This window comes from Homo sapiens, chromosome 21 (genome assembly GCF_000001405.40).
Source record: "Homo sapiens chromosome 21, GRCh38.p14 Primary Assembly".
Taxonomy (NCBI): domain Eukaryota; kingdom Metazoa; phylum Chordata; class Mammalia; order Primates; family Hominidae; genus Homo; species Homo sapiens.
Window position 1 is genome coordinate 28,112,966 of NC_000021.9, and position 25,652 is coordinate 28,138,617.

Genomic DNA, 25,652 nt, shown 5'->3' on the forward strand with positions numbered 1-25,652 from the left:
TAATTTAATAATGTTTACATCCAAAGAGTCCCTTGAATGCAATTGATCGTTGGCTCCTAAAGTCAGCTAGAGTACTCTTTCAGTAATGTCCCTGGTAACTGCTAAGGATACAGTAATGCTTAGATATGCATCTTTGCTCTTCCAAAGCTAACTACTATGCCTAGATGACTTATGTGCTCCTCCAGCTCAACCTCTAAATTTACACAGTTGTTGGAACTGCGATTGAATGCCAAAACACAGTCCATTTTGTAGAGCGTATTTTAAAATGAGCACAATATATCATTTGGTTAAGTAATGCATAGAGTATTTCACTGTTCTTCAATATAAAGACTCCGAATATGGGGTGTGTGTGTTTGTGTGTGCACACATGTGCTTGTGCGTGTACACACTATTAAATGACTCTGAAGAACACGGTGTAACATATGTTCAAATTATCTTACAGATCTTTTTTTATTGCTGACTTGTAATTGAAAGCTAATGAAAAATATACTACCAAATTTAGGGTAGCAAAAATATTTAATTCTGCTTAACTTAACAAATATTTATAGCCTTAATATTTTCACAGTTTGAAATATGGGAGACACGAAAGATAGAAGGCTTAGTTTCTAGTCATAAGGGAATTTAGAATTCTCATGAAAATTTTCCATAGAAAAATAATAAAGAAGTAGCATTAAAAGATGGCTAATAATCCAAAGTGAGTGCTCACAAATAGCAGTTACCGTAGCAGGAAGAAGGAAGGGCTGATTATGGATTGACATATTTATGGAAGATCTCAATCACAAATGGATAATTGCCTCTAAATAATATAGACATGACTTTAGTGACAACATATTGTAGCATATTTTACTCCTGCAAATGATATTCATCAATTATGTTATCTTGTTTATCTATACAATTTTTCTTATATTTATTTCAATAGAAATCAATTATGCCCTGAGGATAAGAATCTTTGATGACTCACTATGTCTACTTTGCACAGATTTTCTAAAGGCAAACACCAATAGAAACCACTCTATAGTTCAAGGCTAGGTCCAGAGTTTTGGGTTAGAAGTGTTTGCTTGTATTTTTGTCAGTTTGTTTTGCTTTTTACATAAATAACATTATTTTTAAATTAGGCATATTTTTCTTTATTTTTTTCTATTAATGTAACTTCAATATTTTTAATTCATTCTTCAGTTTTTCTTCTATTTTTTATTTGGGGCTTAGTATATAACTTTCAAATTTACATGTTTATATAAATGCAATTAATTTAATATTCTTTAAAAATCTTTCTTCTAGTGTTTCAGCATTATCATTTTACTATTTAATGCTAATATATAAAACAAAATTAATAAAATTGTAAATCTATGATGTTACATCTTCTGCAATTTACTTTAAAATAGTTCAAAGTAAGCAGCGGCATGTGTATAGGTAGAAAAGTTAATTGCAATCTACAACCTAGAGCTTTTAGATCACACTTCAAAGATGTTATCTGAAATCCACATTCTATAATTAGCTAACAAAAGCACATAAAATATTACTAACTTAATGTACACCAGCAGGTAGTCTGATAGTTTGTCTCCGAAGATGGCACCAAAGGAGCCAGCCTTCCAGATTCTGTGCAGTTTTTGCCCACGAAGAATGGTGAGATAATTCTGTACCTACACTTTAAGAAAGGCTATTGATTTTTAATTTTGAGATCTTGGGAATGTTGAGCAGCCATAAAAGATGTCCAGTTACACCTGCTGGAGATACTGTGTGAGATACCCTAAGACCATGTATATTAGGGTTTTATAGAAGGACAGAACTAATAGGATAGATGTGTGTGTATATATATATATATATATATATACACACACACAGGGGAGTTTATTGAGGAGTATTGACTCACACGATCACAAGGTGAGGTCTCACAATAGGCCATCTGCAAGCTGAGGAGCAAGGAAGCCCGTCCGAATCCCAAAGCTGAAGCACTTGCAGTCTGATGTTCGATGGCAGGAAGCATCCAGCACAGGAGAGAGATGTAGGCCAGAAGACTAAACCAGTCTAGTCTTTTCACATTCTTCTGCCTGCTTTTATTCTGGCCGTTACTGGCAGCTGTTTAGATTGTGTCCACCCAGATTGAGGGTGGGTCTGTCTTTCCCAGTCCACTGACTCAAATGTTAATCTCCTTTGGCAACACCCTCGCACACACACCCAGGAACAATACTTTGCATCCTTCAATCCAATCAAGTTGACACTCAATATTAACCATCACACCATGTAACAAAGAGAAAGACACAGTTGTCTCCATGTTCCAGTTGAGCTTGTAACGACAGCCAATCCAGGCACTTTCTCAATGCAACTACATGAGAAATCCCAAGAGAAACAAGCAAAAAAATGAAGCGCATTGAGAAGAACCGAAGACTTAGCAATAAAGAAACAAGTTAAAGTAGGGAGAAAACAAACAAACAAAAACAAAGGAAACAAGCCATCATTGGAGGCTGAATGCATTACTTTCTCAGCCTGATAAAATGTATTTGCAGAAAAAAAAAAACCTTATGGTGAACATACTTAATGGTGAAAAAGCTCATCCTGCTTAAGATCAGAAACAGGGCAATAATGTCCATCTTTAGCATTTTTATTCAGCACTGCACTAAAAGACTTGGCCAGTGGAAGAAGGTAAGAAAAAAATAAATCAAAACAATACATATTTGTTTGCAAATGGCATAATAATTTATATACACAATTTTAAATAATCTGCAAAATATATCTTACAACCCATAAGTAAATTTAATAAGATTACAGGTATGTGGTAAATATACAACAGTCATATATTTTAATATAATAATAATAAACAATTACAAAATGAGATACAAAGACACATCTCTTAAAACAGTACCGTACTGGGTTAAATTCTCCTGCAAATTCATGTCTTGTGAATGTGATCTTATTCGGAAATAGGGTTTTGGCAGATATAATCAAGTTAAAATATGGTCATGCTAGAGTAGGGCTCGACCTGATAAAAAGAAAGAAATTTGGATGCAGAGACACCAGCACAGGGAGGGAAGAATACCACGTGAATACGGAGACTGAGATTGGAGGGATGAGTTGACAAGCCAAGGAAGACAAAGATTGCCAGAAAAAAATAGAAGCCAGTAGAAACATTATGTTGTTTAATTTTTAATTTTTGATTTTTATGGGTACATAGTAGGTGTATGCATTTATCAGTACCTGAGATATTTTGATACAGACATACAATGTGTAATAATCACATCAGGGTAAATAGGGTACCCGTCACCTCAGGTACTTATCATTTTCCTTGTGTTACAAATATTTCAATTATACTGTTTTGGTTATTTTTAAATGTATGATAAATTATTGTTGGCTGTAGCTACCATGTTGTTGTATCAACAGGTATTAACCCTATAAACCTGTATTTTTGTACCCATTAACCATCCACATTCCCCACTCCCACTATCCTTCCAAGCCTCTGGTAACCATCAATCTATTCTCCATCTCCATGAGTTCAATTGTTTTAATTTTTAGCTCTCGCAAAAAAGTGAGAATATATGAAGTTTGTCTTTCTGTGTATGGCTTATTTCACTTAACATAATGACCTCCAGTTCCATCCATGTTGTTGCAAATGACAGGATTTCATTCTTTCTATTGCTGAATAGTACTCCATTGTGTATCTGTACTGCATTTTATTTATCCATTCAATTCTTGATAACACTTAGGCTGCTTTCAAATTTTGGAAGCCAAAAGAATTTTTGAGGAAATCAACCAGACAATTGTCAAATTTATACGGAAACACAAAGGACCTTCAATAGCCAAAATAATTTTTAAAAAGAAAAGATTTTGAGGGCCTACAGGTTATGATTTTAAGATTATAAAGCTGTGTTATAAGACAATGCAGCAAAGCATTAGAAAAAAGATGGAACAGGATATAACTGTATTAGTCTGTTCCCTCACTACTGTAAAGAACTACCTGAAACTGGGTAATTTATAAAGAAAAGAGATTTCATTTGTTCACAGTTGGGAAGCTGTATGGGAAGCATGTTTGGGGAGACCTCAGGAAACTTTCAACCATGACGGAAGGTGAAGGGCAAGCAGTCACGTCTTACATGGCCAGAGCAGGAGGAAGAGAGAGTGGGGAGGTGTTACACACTTTTGAACAACCAGATCTCATAACTCACTCGCTGTCATAACAACAACACCAAAGGGAAAATCTGTCCCCATGAACCAATCACTCCCCACCAGGCCCCACCTCCAACATTGGGGATTTCAATTTGACATGATTTGGGTGGGGACACAGACTCAAACTGTATCAACACCCAAACACATATAGTCAATTGCTTTTTTGAAAAAGTTCAAGGACATTTAATGGGGAAAAAAGTATCTTCAATAAACTAGTGCTAGGACAACTGAATATCAGCCTAAAAGTTGTGTATCTATTCTTACCTCACCCCATCTACAAAATTAACTCAAAATGGATTATAGATTTAACATATGAGCTGAAATATAAACTTAACAAAAGAAAAGGTAGGCATATATCTTTATCATCTTGTATAGCACTGACCATGCGAGAAAAAAGAATAAATTGACCTTATATGGGACTTATATATTCAAATTTTACAAAAGAAAAAACTTGGCCGGGTGCGGTGGCTCACGCCTGTAATCCCAGCACTTTGGGAGGCCGAGGCGGGCAGATCACGAGGTCAGGAGATGTAGACCACGGTGAAACCCCGTCTCTACTAAAAAAATACAAAACTTAGCCAGGTGTGGTGGCGGGCGCCTGTAGTCCCAGCTACTCGGGAGGCTGAGGCAGGAGAATGGCGTGAACCCAGGAGGCGGAGCTTGCAGTGAGCAGAGATTGCGCCACTGCACTCGAGCCTGGGCGACAGAGAAGAGACTCCGTCTAAAAACAAAAATAATAAAAAATAAAAATAAAAAACATATTAATAATGAGAAAGTAAACTGTGATTTAGAAACTGGACAAAAAATTTGGACAACAATTTCATACAAGAAGGTATGAAATAAGTAAATAAATATAAACATACACAATATAATTGGCTGTCAGGTATACAGAAATTATAACTAAAGTGAAATATTACTACACAAACAGAAAATCTCATCAAAACAACTTTTGATGATTTGACATATAACTTTTTTTACTTTAAAATGGTGCAAAAGCAATACACATTCAGTAGAAAGCAGTAGAAAACCCTCTTGGGATGTTGGACAGTGGCAGGGAGCTAAGGCTTCCAGTCAGCCACAAGATCACCAGAGTAAACAAGAGATACTCTACAGTTTGCTGTGTTGCCAGATGATTTTGCTCAAGTGTAGAATAATGTAAGTGTTGTGAGCCTGTTTAAGGTAGGCTAGGCTAAGCTATGACGTTTGATAGTTAAAGTGTATTAAAAATGCATTTTCAACTTGTGATATTTTCAACTTAACAATGGATTTATTGGGGCATAACCCCATCGTGAGTCGGGGAGCATCTAGTACTAAAATGGCTAAAAGTAAGACCAACAATATCAGGTGTTAGAACGGAGAGCAACAGGAAAACACCACCAAAGAACTACCTGAAACTGGGTAATTTATAAAGAAAAGTTATTTATAACTCATAAACTGCTGATACATATAAAATATATAAAATGAAACAACTAATTTGCAAAAGACATTGTGGTATAATCACACAACCCTAGTTGGAAATAAAAGATATGAATTACTGATACCCCAAATGACACAGATAAATCTCAAAAGCACCACGCTGAACAAAAGGAGTCAGACACAAGAGCACACATCTATTTGAATCCATTTACGTGACATCTAGGACAGGCAGAACACCAGTCGACAATGACTGAATTCATATCCATTGGTGCCTGTGTTGAGGACTGGGGAAGATTGTCTACAGAAGAGCATAAAGGAACACTTTGAGAAGATAAAAAAGATCTAATTTTCAATTGTGGTGGTTACATTGATATGTACAGTTAGCAAAACTTATCAAAGTGTACTCTTAATGTGGTCATTTAATTATATGTAAATCATATCTCAATAAAAGTCAATTTCTTTCAAAAATACCACAAAAAGATACCACCAACAGGGAGTAGAATGACTAAAATTTGTTAAAGATTTACCATAAGTCCTTTCTGTTGGAGATTATGTGCAGTAACAAGAAACTTTTGTATATTTTGACTGAAGGTATAAATAGCACAGCTACTTTGGAAAACAATTGTTCTATTTAAAACAGTTTACATAATGTTAAAAATAAAAATATCACATGACTCAGTAATATCATTCTGATAAGAAAAATAAAAATGTATGTATCATAAGATCTGTACAAAAATGTTCATAACATTTCAAATATCCCCAAACTGAACACCCTAAATGTCCATTAACAGCTGAAGAGATAAAGAAATTATACTATATTCACATAATGGAATATTACTGAACTATAAGAAAAAACTCCTGATATATGCAACTGATTCATAGAGGAATCTTAAAACATTATGCTGAGGAAAAGGAGCCAAACACATAAGCATACAAATTAAATGATTCATATATATATATAACTCTAAAACATAAAAACTAAACTTTAACAATAAAAATCATACCAAATCCATACAAAAACCTACATATGAATGTCTATACCAGTTTTGTTATATTTTATTTTGTTTTTTGAGACAGGATCTCACTCTGTCACCCAGACCGCAGTGTGGTGGTGCGATCTCAGCTCACTGCAGCCTTAACCTCCCGAGCTCACGCAATCCTCCCACCTCAGCCTCCCAAGTAGCTAGGACTACAGGTGTGCGCCACCACGCCCGGCTAATTTTCATACTTCTGGAGTCACGGGATTTTGCCAGGCTGCTCTTGAACTCCTGAGCTCGAGTGATCTGCCACCTCGGCCTCCCGAAGTGCTGGGACTACAGGTTGCGTCACCACACCCTGTAACGGTTTCATTTTTAATTGTCAAAACTAGAAAACAACCAAGATTTCCTTCAGTGGAGGAACGGAGAAATAAACAATGGTATATCCAGACAATGAACTATTATTCAACTTAGGGGAAAGAAGAAGCTATCAAGCAAAAAATAAAAAATAAATGGAGGAAGCTTAATGCATATTACTGAGTGGAAAAATCCTATCTGAAAATACTATTAATACATACTGTATCATTCCAAATATACAACACTCTGAAAAAAAAAACAAAACTATGGTGCAGTAAAAGGATCTGTGCCAGGGATGAGTAGAGAAAAGAGATGAATAAAAAGAGGTGAATAAGCAGAACACAGAGTTTTATGGCAGTTAAACTACTCGAAACGATACTTCAATGGTAGATACGTCTCCCTGTATATTTGTCAAAAGCCATATAATATATAAACCAAGAGTGAACCCTAATGTAAACCCTGAATTTGGATGATATGATTTGTCAAGTTAGATGCATCAATTGTAATAAATGTACCACAGTGGTAGGGTATATTGATAATGGAAGAGGCTACGCTTATTTGGGGGCAGGGGATATGTGAGAACTCCCTGTACTTACTGCTTAATATCGTTGTGAAACTAAAACTGTTAAAAAAAAAAAAAAAAAGCCTATTTAAAAGGGGAAAAATCATTTTACGGTTGCCTGACAGAAAGCATTAGTCTTTTCTACAGAGTCATGAATGACACTTTTGGGATTATGGGAATGTTCTAAATGATTAGGGTAGTGGTTACGTGAGTGCATATATTTTTTAAAATTTACACAACCATACACTCAAAATGGATGAATTTTAATTACACTTCAATAAATTTGATTAGAAATAATTTCAAAGGCATATTTTAGCAGGGGGGGCATTAGGTAGACTTGGTGATTGTTGACTTAGAAAAAAAAAGATGTATTTGGAAATAGCAAGAATACAAAGCTCACAAGCTGTGCGTGGTATTGGCAGCACTCTTATCCCCAATGAATGACCCTCCCTTACGCATGCACTTCGGGCTATATCTTTCTTTAAATTTTCATCTTTTGTGGGTACATAGTAGGTGTACATATTTATGGGAGACTTGAAATATTTTGATACAGGCATACAATGTATAATAATCCCATCGAGTTAAATGGGAGTATCCATCACCTCAAGGACTTATCCTTTCTTTGTGTTACAAACAATCCCATTATACACGGTTAGTTATTTTAAAATATACAACAAATTATTGTTGACTGTAGTTTGAATGAGATCTTTGGGCCATATCTTTGTAGTGCTCGTCCACTTCATTTGACCCATGTTAAGACAGTCAATGTAATGTAAAGTTGAGGTTTGCATTACATTTCTGCTCTGGCACTCTTATTTGGCTGCACTTACTCACTCCAATGACTCTGCACTCAACAAAAAGAAATTCATTAGGCTGGAATTCTGTATAGAAGGGAGACAGGCCTGAGAGAGCTCCCTTTTCCTAGCCATCCTAGATAAGTCATTTGCAGATCATCCCCTAGCCATTTAACACATTCACATGTGAGGAAAAGATTTCCCCAGCAGAGTCCAGCCTAAATGTTGATCCACAGTGAATTCACTTTTAGGATGGTTTTTATGGTCTATGGAGTACTTCATATCAAAAATAATTTTTAACTAAAATGATTTTTATGTAATTTATACTTTCTCCTAGTAAACATATTTTGACATTATAATTTAAAAGAGATGGACTCAAGTGTTTAATGGGCCAAGATTTTCCTATATAGGTTAGAAATTTAGGGTTAGAAAAGACTGTTTTAAGCCACGAAGTTAAATTTTTGAATAAATTAATACCAACTGTGACTCATATTGTTGGTGTATTTTGCTTTACATCAATAAGTTGGTAGTAGATGTATGTGGAGTTAAGTCGTGGATGATTCTTCGGTTTAAATTATTTTCTTGTTTCTGTGGGATCCCATGACTTTCCAGACATCACTCACCTCTATTATCTTTATTTATATTTTTTTTTTGGCTTATTTCAAAGTAAAATGGTTATTTCTTACCCTAGTTGTTTCCCTCCCTCTCTTGATTTCTATTCCCTGGCCATGCTTTCACCTGATGAAACATGGTCCAGGGCTAGGCAAAATTCTGTGAAAAACAGTATTTGGTGTAATGATATTTCCCTTGAATTTTAGATTTCTAAGTAGAGAGCCTTGTTGTTAATATCTTCTTCCAGTGGAATCCATTAGACTAAGAAGTAATTATACCTTATAAAATAAAAATACTATCAAGTTCAAACCAATTTTTTTTTCTATTTTTTGATAAGAGGAAAAAGGGGGGCAGGCATTATTTTTAACCTGCTTTTATTATGAAATACTCAAAGCATAATAGCTGATGTGCCAAATAAAGTCTTTGGCAGATGATTATTAAAAGCACATGGATTCAAAGGGCTTGTAGGAGTGGAAAAATGACAAGTCAATATCAGATACATCATCTTCTTATGTACTTTACTCATTTCTATTACCCGGAATCATTAAGGATAGTATTCTTAAATGTCATGCTGCAAATTAAATTTTATCATAAACCTGATTTTAAGCCTTTAGTATTAGAAGGAAAAGCAAAAACTATTATTTTCTGACCACAATACTGAATACAAGTATTACCATTATTATTAACATATGTAGTGGTGATTGAGAAATTTTAAAATTAGTTTTTTGTAGTAAGCTACGCTTTTGATTTCTCAAGTATTTTCTACTGCTTCATGATTTAAATATTTGCTCTTCTTTAAAACACCCACTTAAAAAAAGTTACCACTTCTAGAAATGTTTAACTTCAAGTTTGTCACTTTTAATACTTGCCCATACCACTCAAACTTAGATTTCCTATCTGGCCTACTATTCCTCCAAAAAAACAGGGTATAATAAGAAGTGGTTGTTTCTTCTGACTGAAATTGAACATAGTATACAATACAGTATCCATTGCTCACCAATATAACCAAAGCAGAAGTAACCACAAGCTACCTGGGCCCTTCTTGTTGGCCTGTCAGAATATATGTTACTACCATCCCACAAACCACCATATAAACTAACTTCAGCATAGTAATAAAGTCAACCAATTCTGGTCATCTGAAAGGCTTTGACCCTAATCCTGATCATGCCAGGGGAAGGGATGGATGGTAAGGTAACAAGAGCAGAGGTTTGTTTCTGTCATATCAAATGGCTGTTAGAGAAAAAGTTAGGTTCTTCTGTAATCTTGAAGCTTAGAAGCTCCACAGCTTGAGGGCTGCACTCTTCTCCCAGAGCCTTTCATCCTACCCTGCCAGATCTCCTACAGCACTGGAATGAGTGTGGAGCTTGTGAGTTTTACCCAGTGAATGCTGCACTAAGAACCTGGGGTGGAAGAAAGGTGCTACTTAACCATTCATTGCTCTGATTTGTATGACTTATTGTTTATTACATATGTTTCATTTTTTATTGATTTCATAATGAAAGCTTACCTTAAAATTTATACTCCTCCCATCCATTTTTCTTCACTTTTCTTTTTTTCTATTCTATATATTTAACCTCATCTTTTTTCAAATTGTGAGTATTTTAAACAAAGAGTTATGTATGAATGAGAGAAAATGTGAGAAAGAGCCATGAAACTACAGATACTATAAATTTCCATTAAAAATAAAATATTTTATTAGTTTTATTCTGGTGTTGTATTGTAGTTTTACTGTAATAAAACCATATTATCAGCAACATCCAATAGCATTAGAATAACTTAAGCCTGCAAAGATAGAAAATATAGAGCACAAATATTCCACGGTGTTTAATAAATTATTCCAACCATCCATGTTTAAGCCAATGTTATTTTAATAAGAAATTTTCAGATCAGCTATTTACAAAGCATAAACTATTCCCATCACTTTTATTCCACGAATTGACCTTCACAGTACAGAGCCATTTCCACATTCTTTTATTTCTCTTGGAAAATATATAGTGATTATCAAGGTAGTTACTGCAAGAGTAAAAGATGAGAAAGTTACTTGAATATTACAAAAATAAAGTATCAATACATAGTATATGTAAGTTATTCTTATAACAAGCACACGTAACTTTGACAAATGAATCTCAAAATTGTCAATGGAAATAAATTTACATCAGGTGTCCTTTTTCAATAAATTATTTCAGGAACGTGAACTATTGTATTAAAGAGTATATTAATTCATCCTTTTTTGTCATTGCTTTTCCATGTTTTTATTGCTCTACCTTTCTTTGAGAGGCTAATATATAGAAATTGGAAGCTATTTTCCAATGGGCAGCATCAAATATCTTGGCTTATTTGCTGTTGGCATGGGGCTGGTCACATGTTCATGTTTTTCTTGGACTATTCAGCTGCCCCTCCAGCTTTGTGCAACATTGTTTTCCATGAATGAGCTTTGATTAAGATAATTTCATAGTTTAAACTATTATGTTGGAGAATTAACTTGTAACAATTTTAACATAAAATGATTTATTATAATCTCAGGATTGGGTATTGGTCGAGGTTTCTATGTCATCTCCAATTGATTGTAGAGATCAATCATAAAGAATGTAGGGGACAAGCAATAGTTTCCTTCCTCGACTATGACCCTTCCTGTCACTAGAAAAGATGGTCAAGGGGAAAGATTTAACAGAATAAACAGCATAGAATAATCCTAGAGTATTTTGATTTAAATTTTTTATAGTAAAAATAAACAAATGTAGAAATGTGTATTTCTAGATTTGCACAAAAGAACAAACAAAATTTATATAAACGCCTACAACAATAACATTATTTGCTTATATTATATCTAGCTAGGAATTCATAATGAGTCTTAAGAATCTTTTTTCCAAACACTGATATTCTAACTCTGTAAATCTTGATTTTGTTTAAAATTTCAAGGAACAGTTTGGATATTTTCGTACTTACACACATACTTGTGTGTGTGAAATAAAATAGTTTAAATTTTTATCTCACACATGCACATACACAAATGGATCATGTCAAGCTTTGTCTTAGAGAGAAGGAAAGGGAGAAGTGAAGAGAATATGAATAAAACTTTCTAGTTCTCTTTTGATTGGAGGAGTTGTTTTAATCAATGACTTCCTAGAGTTCCACTTACCAATTTAATAAGGTCAATACTTAATAAAGATAATTAAATATTCCATTAAAATATTAAAATAATTTGGGCGATAGTATTTCCTACTTTTCAAATTTGGCTAGAGTATACTTCATTATAAAATAATGATTGATAAGCAACAACATCACAAGTGTGGTATATTGAAACTGCCTACATCAAAGAAATAGAAGATTTATATGATGACTTTATGACTTAAAACAAATTCCTAGTTATAATTTGAAAGAGAAAAAATTACGTTCATTTGAATTAATAATTAATTACTATTATGATTAATCCATCTGTAATTGAAGTCAAGGAGAAGGGAAACTTGAATTACTAAAAGTCAAAATATTAGAATCGCCATAACAAAATATATTTTAACAATATGCCATACTGATTTTAATTATATCAATACATATTTTTCTATCAGAAGTCCTAAGAAATGTCTTCGTATCACTGAATTGCATTTTATTTCTAAGTACTAGCAGTTGTTTGCAAAATTTGTCCTATTCAGATTTTAAATTCCCCCTGTAGTCTTTCTTTCCCTAATGACTTAGGCATATACTAAATGTGCTATACATATACTGAAATGCCTTCATAATTCAAAATATGCATTATGAATCTCAACTATTAAAGTGTGTTTAATGTACACATAAATTCTCAAGGACTACTGAAATATGTGAAGTTATTTGATCCTCTAATAAGTATACGAAATCTCCATGTTTTGTAGTGTATCTGTTTTCTGTTTTATCGGTCAATTCTTAACCGTCCATTGGTCTGTTTTTTATAACCTGCCCTTTTTTGAAAAAGAAACAAAAAAGCCATGTTGGCTCAGTGAATTCTAATTTTATAGATTATATTAAGACAGTAGAGACTGAGGGAGCCTTCTTTCTTTATAGACTAACGCAATGTAATAAAAGAATCTGGAAGATCACTAACTTGCTCTGTGATCCAGACAAAGTTATTTAATCTACATGGCTTTGTTTTTTTATTGTAAAATAAATAGTTCTAACCAATAATGTCTCTAAAGTACCCTCTTTAACATAAAATTTTATGATCAAACTTTATTTTTCATTTTTTTATTTGTATAGATTTAAGGGATACACGTGCATTTTTGTAACATGGATATATTGCATAGTGGTGAAGTCTAGAAGTGATATAAATGTTAATCAGAATTAATACATATTTTTGCTCCTTTGAGGGAGTTAAAAAATGAATTAATTTACATATTTTAAAACAATGAGTGCAGAAACAAACAATAATTTGTATAGTTTACTAATTAATGTAAACTTAAAAAGGTAATATAAAAAAGCATTCCCAACTTAAGAGATCATCTGATGATAGTCACTATTTCAAATAATTTTGCTATGTTTTTTAGTTTCTTCTTTTAAAAGAAAATTATTTTTATGAGTACATAGTAAGTGTATATATTAATGGGGGCATGAGATATTTTGCTACAGGCATGCAATGTGTATTAATCACATCATGGTAAATAGGGTTTCCATAACCTCAAGCATTCATCATTTCTTTGTGTTACAAACATTCCAATTGTAGTCCCTGAGTTATTCCAAAATGTACAACAAACTATTGCTAACTTTAGTCATCCTGTTGTGCTTTCAAATATTAGATCTTATTCATTGTATCTAACTGTATTTCTAACCATTAACTATCTCCATTTTCCACCCCAACTTCCCACTATTCTTTTCAGCCTCTGGTAACCATGATTTTGCTATTTAGATACACTATTCATCTTTGCCAACTCACTCATGCTGGAGCTCTATTTATACTCCCAAACATAGTTTATCCAATAACAGCAAAATGTCATTTAGTTGTTGAACTACCCAATCCCCACATAAATTTTTGTCAAAGTTGCATTTTTAAAAGTGATTGACCATTGATTTTTTTTTCAAATATTTTCTTCACTTGGATCACAAGCAACAACCAGCCAGTGGAAAGTTTTGCAAAATTCTTGGCTTTCTGTACCAACCTAAGAGCAGATGGATATTTCCCCACTACAGATGAAACAAATGTTTCTTTTTGGATAGGTTTTCCCATTAAACAAACTTTTGCCATTGAAATCTATGTTTAGATTTGGTCCGTTGGGACATCACAAAGTTAAATAGATGCTTGCTGAAATATGTTTCATTTTTGCTGACTCAGAAACATGTTAATTGTTCTGTGAATTTAGTAACAATCAACAAGTATTATTTTAAAATAATTACTTTGTCAAAAGATGATACTTCTGATGTTTGATTAGTTTTGGCATATGAGGTAGGCTTCAATCTTACTGAAATTACTTAAGCTATCTGCATTTCTTTTCCCTGAATATGAATGAGTCTTTTCAACGTTTTTGGTGATGAACAGGATCACACTCTGCTCAAATCTGTTCAAAGAGAAGTCCAAGACTAGCAAAACACGTAACTGTTACTTAATTTAAAAGGCAAAACAAAACAAAACAAAACAAAATCTTTCAAAAGTTCACACCTATATTTATTTTGGGCAATTTGCCCCTTCTTGACCTCAGTTTCCTGTGTGTAAAATGATGAGTTTGCATTAAATGATTTGCAAAGTCTCTCCAGCCCTTAATTTCTAGGACTCTGTGACCCCATTTACAAGCCTCACTAAGCTAATCTACCACAGATGTATTCTTACTCACTTTCAGTGCCAATAAACATTAGCATTGGGAAACAGCTAATAACAAGCTAATGTTTCTGATGGTGCAAACAGAGATTGATATAAATGAAAGCACAGTTTGGTTCTCACTAGATAGAACTGAATTTGTTTAGTCATTCTTTTTGTTACCCATTACATATAAAGTTGGAATTCCCACCTAAGTTCAGTGTATTATGCCTGTTCTCTTTTCCATCTCCACTTTACTTTTGATTGTCTATCATATTCTGTAGATTCAAATGAGTTGAGAAAAGTACTGGTTTAAGGAAAGAATCATTTGTTCTTGTCCACACCTCATATCTTCTCTTTTCCCGTACCCAAATGCTCTGATGCCCCATGTATGGTTATAAGGCATATGCTTCTTAGAAGTCAATGTGGTTACAAGTTAAGAATGAAATGACACATGGCTAACCCTGCTTTTGCATTTTGCCTTCAACATATCCATTCTCTCCTTCTCCTTTGTCAGTAAACCTCATCAGACAAAAATATTTCCAATCTCAGAAAATTAAATCAGTCAAGATAATGCTTTCTCTTTCCAGAAACTATGAAATGTGCCCATCTCTCTTGCTCTGTGACTTAGTTATAGACAATAAGAGTAACAGGTAAGTCTGCTGAAGAACTGTGGGGCTGGCTTTACCTTCCCTAATGAAGGGAACCTTGATATACACCCCACTGACTTCTCCCTTCTCGTTTTGATACCTATAGTTGTAGTCACCATCTTGTGATCATAAAGAAAGGCCAAGAGAAAAATAGATGTAAAGAAGGCCTCACGCCATTGAATAGCTGAACCAAAATTACAACAACCATTCATATCTAAACTTTTCTTCATATCAGAGAAAATCAAGACATTTGTTTGTAGAAGATGCAGTGCTGGACGTCCTAGATATCCCCATCAGGATTGAGATAGTTATTCTCCCAGCCGCTATGAAGATTATGTGTTGATATCTCTCAGAGGTCAAGACCTCCTCCAGAATTATTATCAGCTGAGGAATGCTTCCCCATCTAAGGAGATGTGTCCTTCTTGGGGAAACCCACATCTAATGACTATTTGGTAGGGAAATATAACAATCTGAGTGACTCTCCTCAAAACAGGATAACTCTGAAGGGCCCTCTCTTCTGTGAGGCATCCCTCAAACTTGGCTGGTCCTTGTTATAGATAAAACTCACTCCAACTTTCCTTCTACCCAGAGTTCTGCTTCCTTAATTTCCCCTAAGGTGAAGCTTCTGAGAACACTCCCTGTGAAAAATTCTAACACTAGTCTCTGTCTCACAGCTTCTGACAGAAAGCAAATTACAATATTGTATAATGTACTTTTAGATTTTCTGTTATTTGTGGCCAAAATTATTATTATTATTATTTTGAGATGGAGTTTCGTTCTTGTTGCCCAGGCTGAAGTGCAATGGCACGATCTCGGCTCACCGTAACCTCTGCCTCCCGGGTTCAAGCTATTCTACTGCCTCAGCCTCCCTTGTAGCTGTGATTATAGCCATCCACCACCATGCCTGGCTAATTTTGTATTTTTAGTAGAGATGGGGTTTCTCCATGTCGGTCAGGTTGGTCTCAAACTCCCAACCTCAGGTGATCTGCCTGCCTCGGCCTCCCAAAGTGCTGGGATTCCAAAATTATTCCTAACTTGCACGTAAGTATACAAGCAAATTGGGAGACTGGTAAAACTAACTGGCAGACTCCCACAAAAGAGACTTTGTAGTGTGATGAAAACACATGATCTTTCCTGAAGGTTGGGTTCAAATCCAGGCCTAGTCGCTTGCCAGCAAGGTAAAGTTAAGCAAAATATATAAGCCTATTTTAGTCTTGTTTTCCTTAAGTGTTAAGAGAACTAATAATACTTTCATTATTTATTTAATTTTATAATTTCTGGTGACTAATAAGGAGGTAATATACAATGCATCCAACACATACAATCATTTGTTGAAAATTCTTTGTGAGGACTCAAAAAAGTAACACATAAATAGCATCTAACACGTATAGTTTCCACTCTATAAATAGTAGCTATGCTAGTGGATTAATTTTTTTTTTTTGAGATGGAGTCTCACTCTATTGCCCAGGCTGGAGTGCAGTGGTGCAATCTCGGCTCACTGCAACCTCCACCTCCCAGGTTCACACCATTCTACTGCCTCAGCCTCCCGAGTAGCAGGGACTACAGGCACCCACCACCACGCCTGGCTAACTTTTTTGTATTTTTAGTAGAGACAGGGTTTCACTGTGTTAGCCAGGATGGTCTTGATCTCCTGACCTCATGATCCACCCATCTAGGCCTCCCAAAGTGCTGGGATTACAGGCGTGAGCCACTGTGCCTGGCCACTAGTGTATTAATTTTAAAATTGTATTTATGAATGACACAAGTCTAAAAATATATTTCCAGATTTGAGTACCTAATAGTCTATTATATAAATAGCTGGTTTGCATTTATTATCTTTCATATTTCCACTTCATTTAAAAAGTACATACATGTGACCCAGGGTAGCCACTGGGATTTATGAAGAGGCAAAAGTGGGGAGATTTGAGAATTTAGGAATGTCAGGAGTGGGCATACACAGAGCTATCTCTGGGCACCCTCACCCACTTTGCACAGGCTTTTGCACAGTGGATGATTGTGCTCCTGGAAGAGATCCAGGGAGCACAAAGTACGAGACCTGCTTCTGCCCAAGAGGATCAGAAACTGAGACCTATGTGGGTCTCAGGGGATGGTACTAAACCACTCGTGAGAAATTCACCACCATAATCTCATCACCTCCCACCAGGCCCCACCTCCAAAACTGGGGATTATATTTCAACATGAGATGTGGGTGTGAACACAGATTCGAACTATATCATTCTTCCCATGGCCCCTCCCAAATCTCATGTCTGTCTTACATTTCAGAATACAAATATGCCTTCCCAATCATCTCCCAAAGTCTCAACTCATTCCAGCGTTAACTCAAAGACCAAAATTCAAAGTCTCATCTGAAACAAGGTAAGTCCCTTCTACCTATGAGCCAGTAAAATAAAAATAAAATTCTAAAAATTAAAAAAAAAAACAAGTTAGTCACTTCTAAGACACAATGATGGTACAAGCATTGGGTAAACACTCTTATTCCAAAACGGAGGAATCAGCTAAAAGAAAGGGGCTACAGGTCTTATGCAAATCTGAAACTCAGCACAGTAGTCATTACATCTTAAAGCTTCAAACCAATATCCTCAGACTACATGTCTCACATCCAGGGCACACTGATACAGGGGTGGGCTCCTAAGATCTTGCCCAAGTGCCACCCCTCTGGATTTGTAGGATTCTGCCCCAGAGGTTGCTCTCACAGGTTGTTATGTGCCTGCAGCTTTTCCACAGCAAGGGTGCAAACTGCCAGTGGATCTACCCAGTCTGGAGGATGGTGACCTTCTTCCACAGCTCAACCAATGAGAACTCTGTCTGTGGGATCTGACCCACATTTTCCCTCTGTACTACCCTGGTAGAAGTTTTCCATGAGGACTCTGCCACTTCAGCAGGCTTCTGCCTGGACACCTAGGCTTTTCTATACATCCTAGGAAATGTATGCAGAGGTTCCCAAGCCTCAAACACTCTTGCATTCTGTGCACCTACAAAGTAAACACCATGTAGAAGCCACCAACACTTATGGCTTGCACCCTCTGGTGCTGTGGCCTAAGCTGTTCCTGGACTACTTTGAGCCACTGCTGGAGCTGAAGCTGACAGGATACAGGGAGCCATGTCCTAAGGCTGTGCAGGGCAGCAGGGCCCTGGGCATGGCCCACAAAACCATTCTCTCCTCCTAGGCCTCAGGGCCTGTGATGGAAAAAGCTGCCCCTTAGATCTCTGAAATACCTTCCAGGCCTTTTTTCCCATTGTCTTGGCTAGCAGCACTTGCTTTCTTTTCACTAATGCAAATTTCCACAGCAAGTGGTCACTCAGCAACCTACTTGAATTTTCCCTGAAAATGAGGTTTTCTCTTCTACTATATGAACAGGCTTCAAAATTTCCAAACTTTTACAATTTGCTTCCATTTTAAATATAAGTTCTAGCTTTAAATCATTTATTTGCTCCTGCATATGAGTATAGGCTGTTAGAAGCAGCCATACCACATCTTGAATGCTTTGCTGCTTAGAAATTTCTTCTTCGAGATACCCTAAATCATTACTCTTAAATCCAAAGTTCCACAGATCCCTAGGGTGGGGGCATAATGCAACCAAGTTCTTCACTAAGGCATAACAAAAGTGACCTTTGCTCCAGGTCCCAGTAAGTTGTTTATTTCCATCTGAGACCTTGGTAGCCTGGACTTCACTGTTTACATCACTATCATTATTTCTGTCACCATCAGTTAACCAATGTCTAAGATGTTCTAGTTTTCTTCATCTTCCTGTCTTCTGAGCTCTCCAAACTCTTCCAACCTCTACCTGTTACTCAATTCCAAAGTTGCTTCCACATTTTCAGGTATCTTTATAGCAATGTCCCACTCCTCGGTACCAATTTTCTGTATCAGACCATTCTAATATTGTTATAAAGAAATACCTGACACTGAGTGATTTATAAGAAAAGAGGTTCAATTGGCTCATGATTATACAGGCTTTACAGAATGCACTGCAGCATCTGCTTCTGGAAAGGCCTCAGGAAGCTTCCAATCATGGCAGAAGGTGAAAAGGGAGCAGGTGTGTCTATCACATGGTGAAAGCAGGAGCAAGAACAAGAGTGGGGGAGGTGCCAAATACTTTTAAACAAAATAATCTTCTGATAACTCATTCACTATCAGGAGGACGGTACAAAGAGGATGATGCTAAACCATTCATGAGAAATCCACCCCCATGATCCAATCACCTACCACCAGGCCCCAACTCCAACATTGGGAATTACGTTTCAACATGAGATTTGGGTGAGGACACATATTCAAACTATATCACTGACCTTGAAGCCACTTAATTCCTTTATGCATGCCACCATGCTGTGCATGTAATAGTGAAGACTTAATTCTTCCTCTGAGTCATGAGAACTGCAGGGGCCAAAATATCAAAAATCATCTTTCACTTTTTATATTAAAACCAAAAAACAGGTTTCAGGAGGGTCATGTCTTAGAGTCTAGGGAAAGAAATGCTGTAAATTTTACTATGGATACAATGCTGACCAGAAAAAAAAAAAAAACTGTTGAAAAAGTGAAGCTCATTCACTGTAGCTGATGTGGCCCCAGTTGCTGTGTAATTTGCTTGTAAAACAAATAAATTTTCTCTTCCCTCAAGAATTTATGGTCTGATGGAGAAGGGAATCATTAAAGTTCTATGTAGTGAGATATCCCCAAGGGGTGTATTAGGCTTACCACCACTGGAATCTGGATAGATGAAGACAGAGTGGCAGGGAAGTCGTATTAAGGTTCTGTTTCTGCTGGGAGCCACAGGTCCTCAGGAAGCAACAAGTACTGGGCAGATTGATACTGTAGCTGGGCTCTAGCTCTATACCTCTAGAATAAAGGTTACAAACTAGCAACTTGAAAGCTAAACCTGGCCCACAGATATGTTTTATTTGGCTCTTACACTGTTTTAAAAAATATTACCAACATTTAAAACTGGGAAGTTTTATGAAAAAACCCAGACTTCTGGATTCTGTTGAAAAAAAAAATCAGAAGATCTGGCAATACTGAGCTGACATTCCTATATGACAACAATTGGCTGGATCTATGCAGCTTCTCTCCAAAAAGCAAAGAATGTGTTCTTGCTTAACACAGTCCCCACCACTCCCTCATATTCTCCAATCCTGGACCTGAGCGTCATTTGCTATGTATCGCCATTTGCCATGAAGTTTTACACTCTACAGAAATATAATTTTTTTGTAGAAGACTATGCTTTAATCAAGATCAGGATAATATAAAGTGAGATCTGAAAGTGGAAAAAAGATAAATGTCCAACAATGATAGACTGGATTAAGAAAATGTGGCACATATACACCGTGGAGTACTATGCAGCCAAAAAAAACGATGAGTTCATGTCCTTTGTAGGGACATGGATGAAGCTGGAAACCACCATTCTCAGCAAACTATCGCAAGGACAAAAAACCAAACGCCGCATGTTCTCACTCATAGGTGGGAATTGAACAATGAGAACACTTGGGCACAGGAAGGGGAACATCACACACCGGGCCCTGTTGTGGGGTGGGGGGAGGAGGGAGGGATAGCATTTGGAGATATACCTAATGTTAAATGACTAGTTTCTGGGTGCAGCACACCATCATGGCACATGTATACATATGTAACTAACCTGCACATTGTGCACATGTACCCTAAAACTTAAAGTATAATTTTTAAAAAAAGATATTTTCTTATCTAGGTGAGAAACAATCATATACATTTAATGCTTTTTAATTTGCATTATCGATCTAGCCCTGAATCAGGGGAAAATCCTCACTCTTTCTTGAAGTTTCATAAAGAAATATCAATTTGGTAAAAAGTCGACTTTTTTTTTCTTTGAGAAGGAGTCTTGTCCTGTTGCCCAGGCTGGAGTGCAATGGTGCAATCTCAGCTTACTGCAACCTCCGCCTCCCAGGTTCAAGCAATTCTCTTGCCTCAGCCTCCTGAGTAGCTGGGATTACAGGCAAGTGCCACCATGCCCGGCTTTTTTTTTTTTTTTTTTCTATTTTTAGTAGCGACAGGGTTTCACCATGTTGGCCAGGCTGTTCTCGAACTCTTGACCTCATGATCCACCCTCCTTGGCCTCCCAAAGTGCTGGGATTACAGGCATAAGGCTCCCTGCCCGGCCAGATGACCCTTCTTTAACTACATAATATTGACTATGGAATAGGCCTTGGCATGTAATAAGCGAATGAATGAATGAATGAATGAATGAATGAATGAGTTAGAACAGAAAATAATCGAATACCAACCCATTTCTCACACCGCATAAATCATGAAGGTTCTGAGGAAGGCTCTCTGATCTTTAGGTTGTAAAAGAAACGTGTATATTTTAAATCTCTGCAGGGATATTGACACCTCTCCACCAGCTGAGAACACCACACAAAATGTGATGGATCTTTGTTTCCAAAAGATGCCCATTACATTCTTTTATAATATCAACCAACAGGGACTTTGAAGGACATGTCCCAGGAATTTATAATTGAACTTGTCCTGTTCAGTTTTTTTTAAATCAAGAGCTAATAAAGACATGGACAATTTTCTTAACATATTTTTAGGTGACAGTATTTGGGGAAAGAATGCCTCCAAGCTAGATTGCAGGTTCAGTTTCCAAGACTAGAATTTTAACCACACCACTGATTTAGTTTGTAGGTTCAGTCCACACCATAAATGGAGATTTAAAAAAATAAAATACAGGAAACGAGAGACACGACTCAAGAAGAGAACCCTTAAAAAATATGTGGGGAAAAGCCCAACAGAAATGAATGGTGTCATATGGCCTTCAAGAAAACCTAAATAATGTTAAGGTATTAATAGACATATAGAATTTAAGGCTGGGCATGGTGGTTTATGCCTATAATCCCAGCATTTTGGGAGGCCCAGGTGGAATGATCATTTGAGCCTAGTAGTTCAAAAATGGCCTGGGCAATATAGTGAGAACTTGTCTCTGCAACAAATTAAATAATTAACTGTGATGGTTAGTATTGAGTGTCAACTTGATTGGATTGAAGGATGCAAAGTATTGTTTCTGGGTGTGTCTGTGCAGGTGTTGCCAAAGGAGATTATTATTTGAGTCAGAGGACTGGGAGAAGCAGACCTACCCTCGATCTGGGTGGGTGTCATCTAGTCAGCTGCCAGTGTGGCTAGAATGAAGCAGGCAGAAGTTGGAAAGAGCAGACCTGCTGAGTCTTCTGGCCCTCACCGTTCTCCCGTGCTGGATTCTTCTGGCCCTCAAACATCAGACTCCACGTTCTTCAGCTTTTGGACTCATGGACTTACACCAGTGGTGTGCCAGGGCCTCTTGAGCCTTTGGTCACAGACTGAAGGCTACACTGTCAGCTTCTCTAATTTTGAGGTTTTGGGACTCAGACTGATCCACCACTGGCTTCCTTGCTCCTCAACTTGCAGATGGCTTCTCACGGGACTTGACTTTATGATCATGTGAGTCAATTTTCCTTAATAAACTCCCTTTCATATATACACATATTGTATTAGTTCTGTCCCTCTAGAAAATCCTGACTAATACATTAGCCAAGCATGGTGGCATGTGACTGTAGTCCCAGTTGCTCAGGAGGGTGAGGTGGGAAGATTGCTTAAGCCTGGGTGGCAGAGGCTGCAGTGAACTGAAACCAACCACTGCCCTCCAGCCTGGGTGACAGAGCTCAAAAAAAAAAAAAAAAAAGAAATGTAAAGTGCTAGCCCTTCCACACTGTGTACGTGTCAAACCTTTTCCAGTTGGTATTTTCACATCTTAGTATTGCAAATGTTGGTATGCATGCACATGTGTTGTGTGTGTGCTGGTGGTAGTGGTGGTGGTGGTGGGGTGTGTGTGTGTGTGTGTGTGTGTGAAAAAGGCAATACAGGAATGGCAGAAGCAGAAATACGGAGTCAAAATCATGTCATAGGAAAAACATTATGTAAATTGGGATTTATTACTTGCACAAATGATACGAAAGCCATGCATAAGTTTTATTCAAAAGGATGATTAGGTTTAGAGTAATTGGATCTATTTCCTCTGTAGCTCTGAGAGGTAAAAGTAATATTAAAGAACAAAAGTTTAACATAAGAAATTTTTTTTCAAAATGGAATCATCCCCTCACCTAAAATAAATAGATAAAATAGACTATCAAAGGGAAATCATTTGTTGTTACTACCCTTTTCTTGCCCAATCGAGGCTTGGAGAAGTATCAGACTATATGATATTTAAGATCCCTCCCATCACTGGGAACTTGTCATTTGATGGAAATAAAAAATGAAAGAAAAATGTTTGGTCCTCAACCTTTTAAATCCAGACACTTGATGATTGTTACCACTTTACGTCAGATCGACCTTACTTTCATGGAAAATTGTCATTTTTTGGCCACTCAGCATCCAAACGAACTTTCTCTTTCTGAGATATTTACTCCCATTACCTCCCAACAGACTTGGCCAATAAGATGTTCCTGCCTAAGACTTTGAATCTGGAATGGGGAACACAGAGAACATGAGCAACGAAGAATTATTCACAGCACAGCACAGCAGTGCTGACAGCATCGACAGTCCTGTGGTGCCAGCAAGAATCCAAAAGAAGTGTCCTACATAAATTCCCTTAATCACTGACCATTTAATGAGGCTGATTCAGCCTCATACAAATTTTGTATGCTTCTTCATACAATTTTTAATTGTGCTGTAAAAGTTAACCAGAGACAATTTCTGTTGCTTGCACACAGTAAGTTGACTAAGCAAAAAAATTCAGGAGAGATTATTTTATAGAAGTCAATGCAAATGCATTAATTTACAAGAAGTGAAACTGCAAGTTCACTTTGCTGCCTTATGGCCAGCATATTCTCTTACAAGGGAAGTCTATATGGCAATCTGTGTTATGATCAGAAGATTTGGGAAAGATGGAATCTGTGAGAGAGTTTTATGACACACGGTTACAACTGATCACAGGATCAAACACTAAAACTCCAATATATATATTTATTCTTATTAGCAAAGCTTTTATGCTATGGAGGAAAAAGAAAAAGAAATAAGAAATTCTGAGTTTCTCTAAACTTCCAGTATGTGGATGAGTTAAAAACTATGTCATCTTGGATTCCCCATTTTAAATATTTCATAATAATGCATTATAATTGGTACATGTTAATATCAATTTTTTCTTTTGCTGTTTTTGAAGTGGTGTGAATCACCTGTAACAAGGTTTCCTTATCATCCATTTAATTATTGTCCTATAATATACTTTTCAATACAGCAACTACTTTTTATGTTTTGGGATTACTTTTACTATTGTTAGATAAAACCTATGGTTGATTGTGTGCCTCTAGAAGAACTTCAAAAGTACAATATAAATCTTGCTAACAATAACTCATTATGGTCAGTGGTTTTTCAGGATAGTTATTTATCTCAACTACTCATGATGTGAATGTCTTTTAAAATTTGAATAATTGCCCTCTCTGTCAGATACAATATTATTATATTTTTACTGATTACATTAAGAATTAGGCAAGATTAAAATTTTCTTTTTGCACCATCATTACTTCTTAAGAACTTAACTGTTGTTGAACAAATAGTACGTGTGTCAGTTATTAAATGTAGTCTAAATTCATGAAATAAGAATGTACATATAGCATAGTGGGAAAAACACAGGTTTTAGAATCATATACCATAGAGTTATGTTTCAGTAGTGCTACTAATGTATTCTTTGACCCTACGTCAGTCAGCAAACACAACTGAAATCAAGTGGTAACTCTATGTTCCTCCTTTGTGTAATAAGTATTTTTACATGTTTGAGATCAAATGATATAGTGTGTTAAAATTATTTATAAGCTAAAATATTTTATAAATAATAGCTGTACTTATTAAAAATTAGAGATTAATAAGTTGTTACATAAAACACACGTAAGCGATTCAATGTTAGGAAAATATATTTAGCTTTCTCAAAATTTTATTTCATAAAGCAAAGTTTCCTACATTAACTATCCAGCTATCTGTTGTGTTTTTCATCATCATCACAAATGGATTCAGACTGGCTACCATATAAAAACACTCATAAATTCTAGGAATGCCAGAAGTTCCTGTCCTCAACTATCTAATTGTATTCTTTAGATAACTTCACATATTATGAAGATAAATAACTAGCGATACAGCAGAACCCATGGTAAATAGCACTGAGTCATGCAGTTAATGAGCATAATGTGGACAGAAGAGAAAATCACTGTTGCTTCTGTCCCTTGGAGCAGGTGGACTTCAGCTGAAACTTGAGGGAATACTGTCCATTCTGTTTAGGAAGCATTGCTAGGAAGAGTGTATTGCCAGCTGCTTGTGTTTTTAAAGTCACTGCATGCATGTGTGGTAATTTGTTATGGCGA

The 25,652-nt window shown here is 36.1% G+C and overlaps 2 long non-coding RNA genes across 2 annotated transcripts in view; one reads left to right on the forward strand and one right to left on the reverse strand.

The window, feature by feature from the left end:
* LINC01697 (long intergenic non-protein coding RNA 1697) overlaps window positions 1–24,644 on the forward strand; it is an 89,196-nt gene extending 64,552 nt beyond the window's left edge. The window contains exons 3-5 of the long non-coding RNA NR_126010.1: window positions 17,565–17,657; window positions 22,349–22,743; window positions 23,725–24,644. This is a non-coding gene — a long non-coding RNA (long intergenic non-protein coding RNA 1697). The remainder of the gene's footprint in view (window positions 1–17,564; window positions 17,658–22,348; window positions 22,744–23,724) is intronic.
* The window catches only part of LINC01695 (long intergenic non-protein coding RNA 1695), a 112,574-nt gene continuing 90,050 nt past the window's right edge, over window positions 3,129–25,652 (reverse strand). The window contains exon 6 of the long non-coding RNA NR_126012.1: window positions 3,129–6,909. This is a non-coding gene — a long non-coding RNA (long intergenic non-protein coding RNA 1695). The remainder of the gene's footprint in view (window positions 6,910–25,652) is intronic.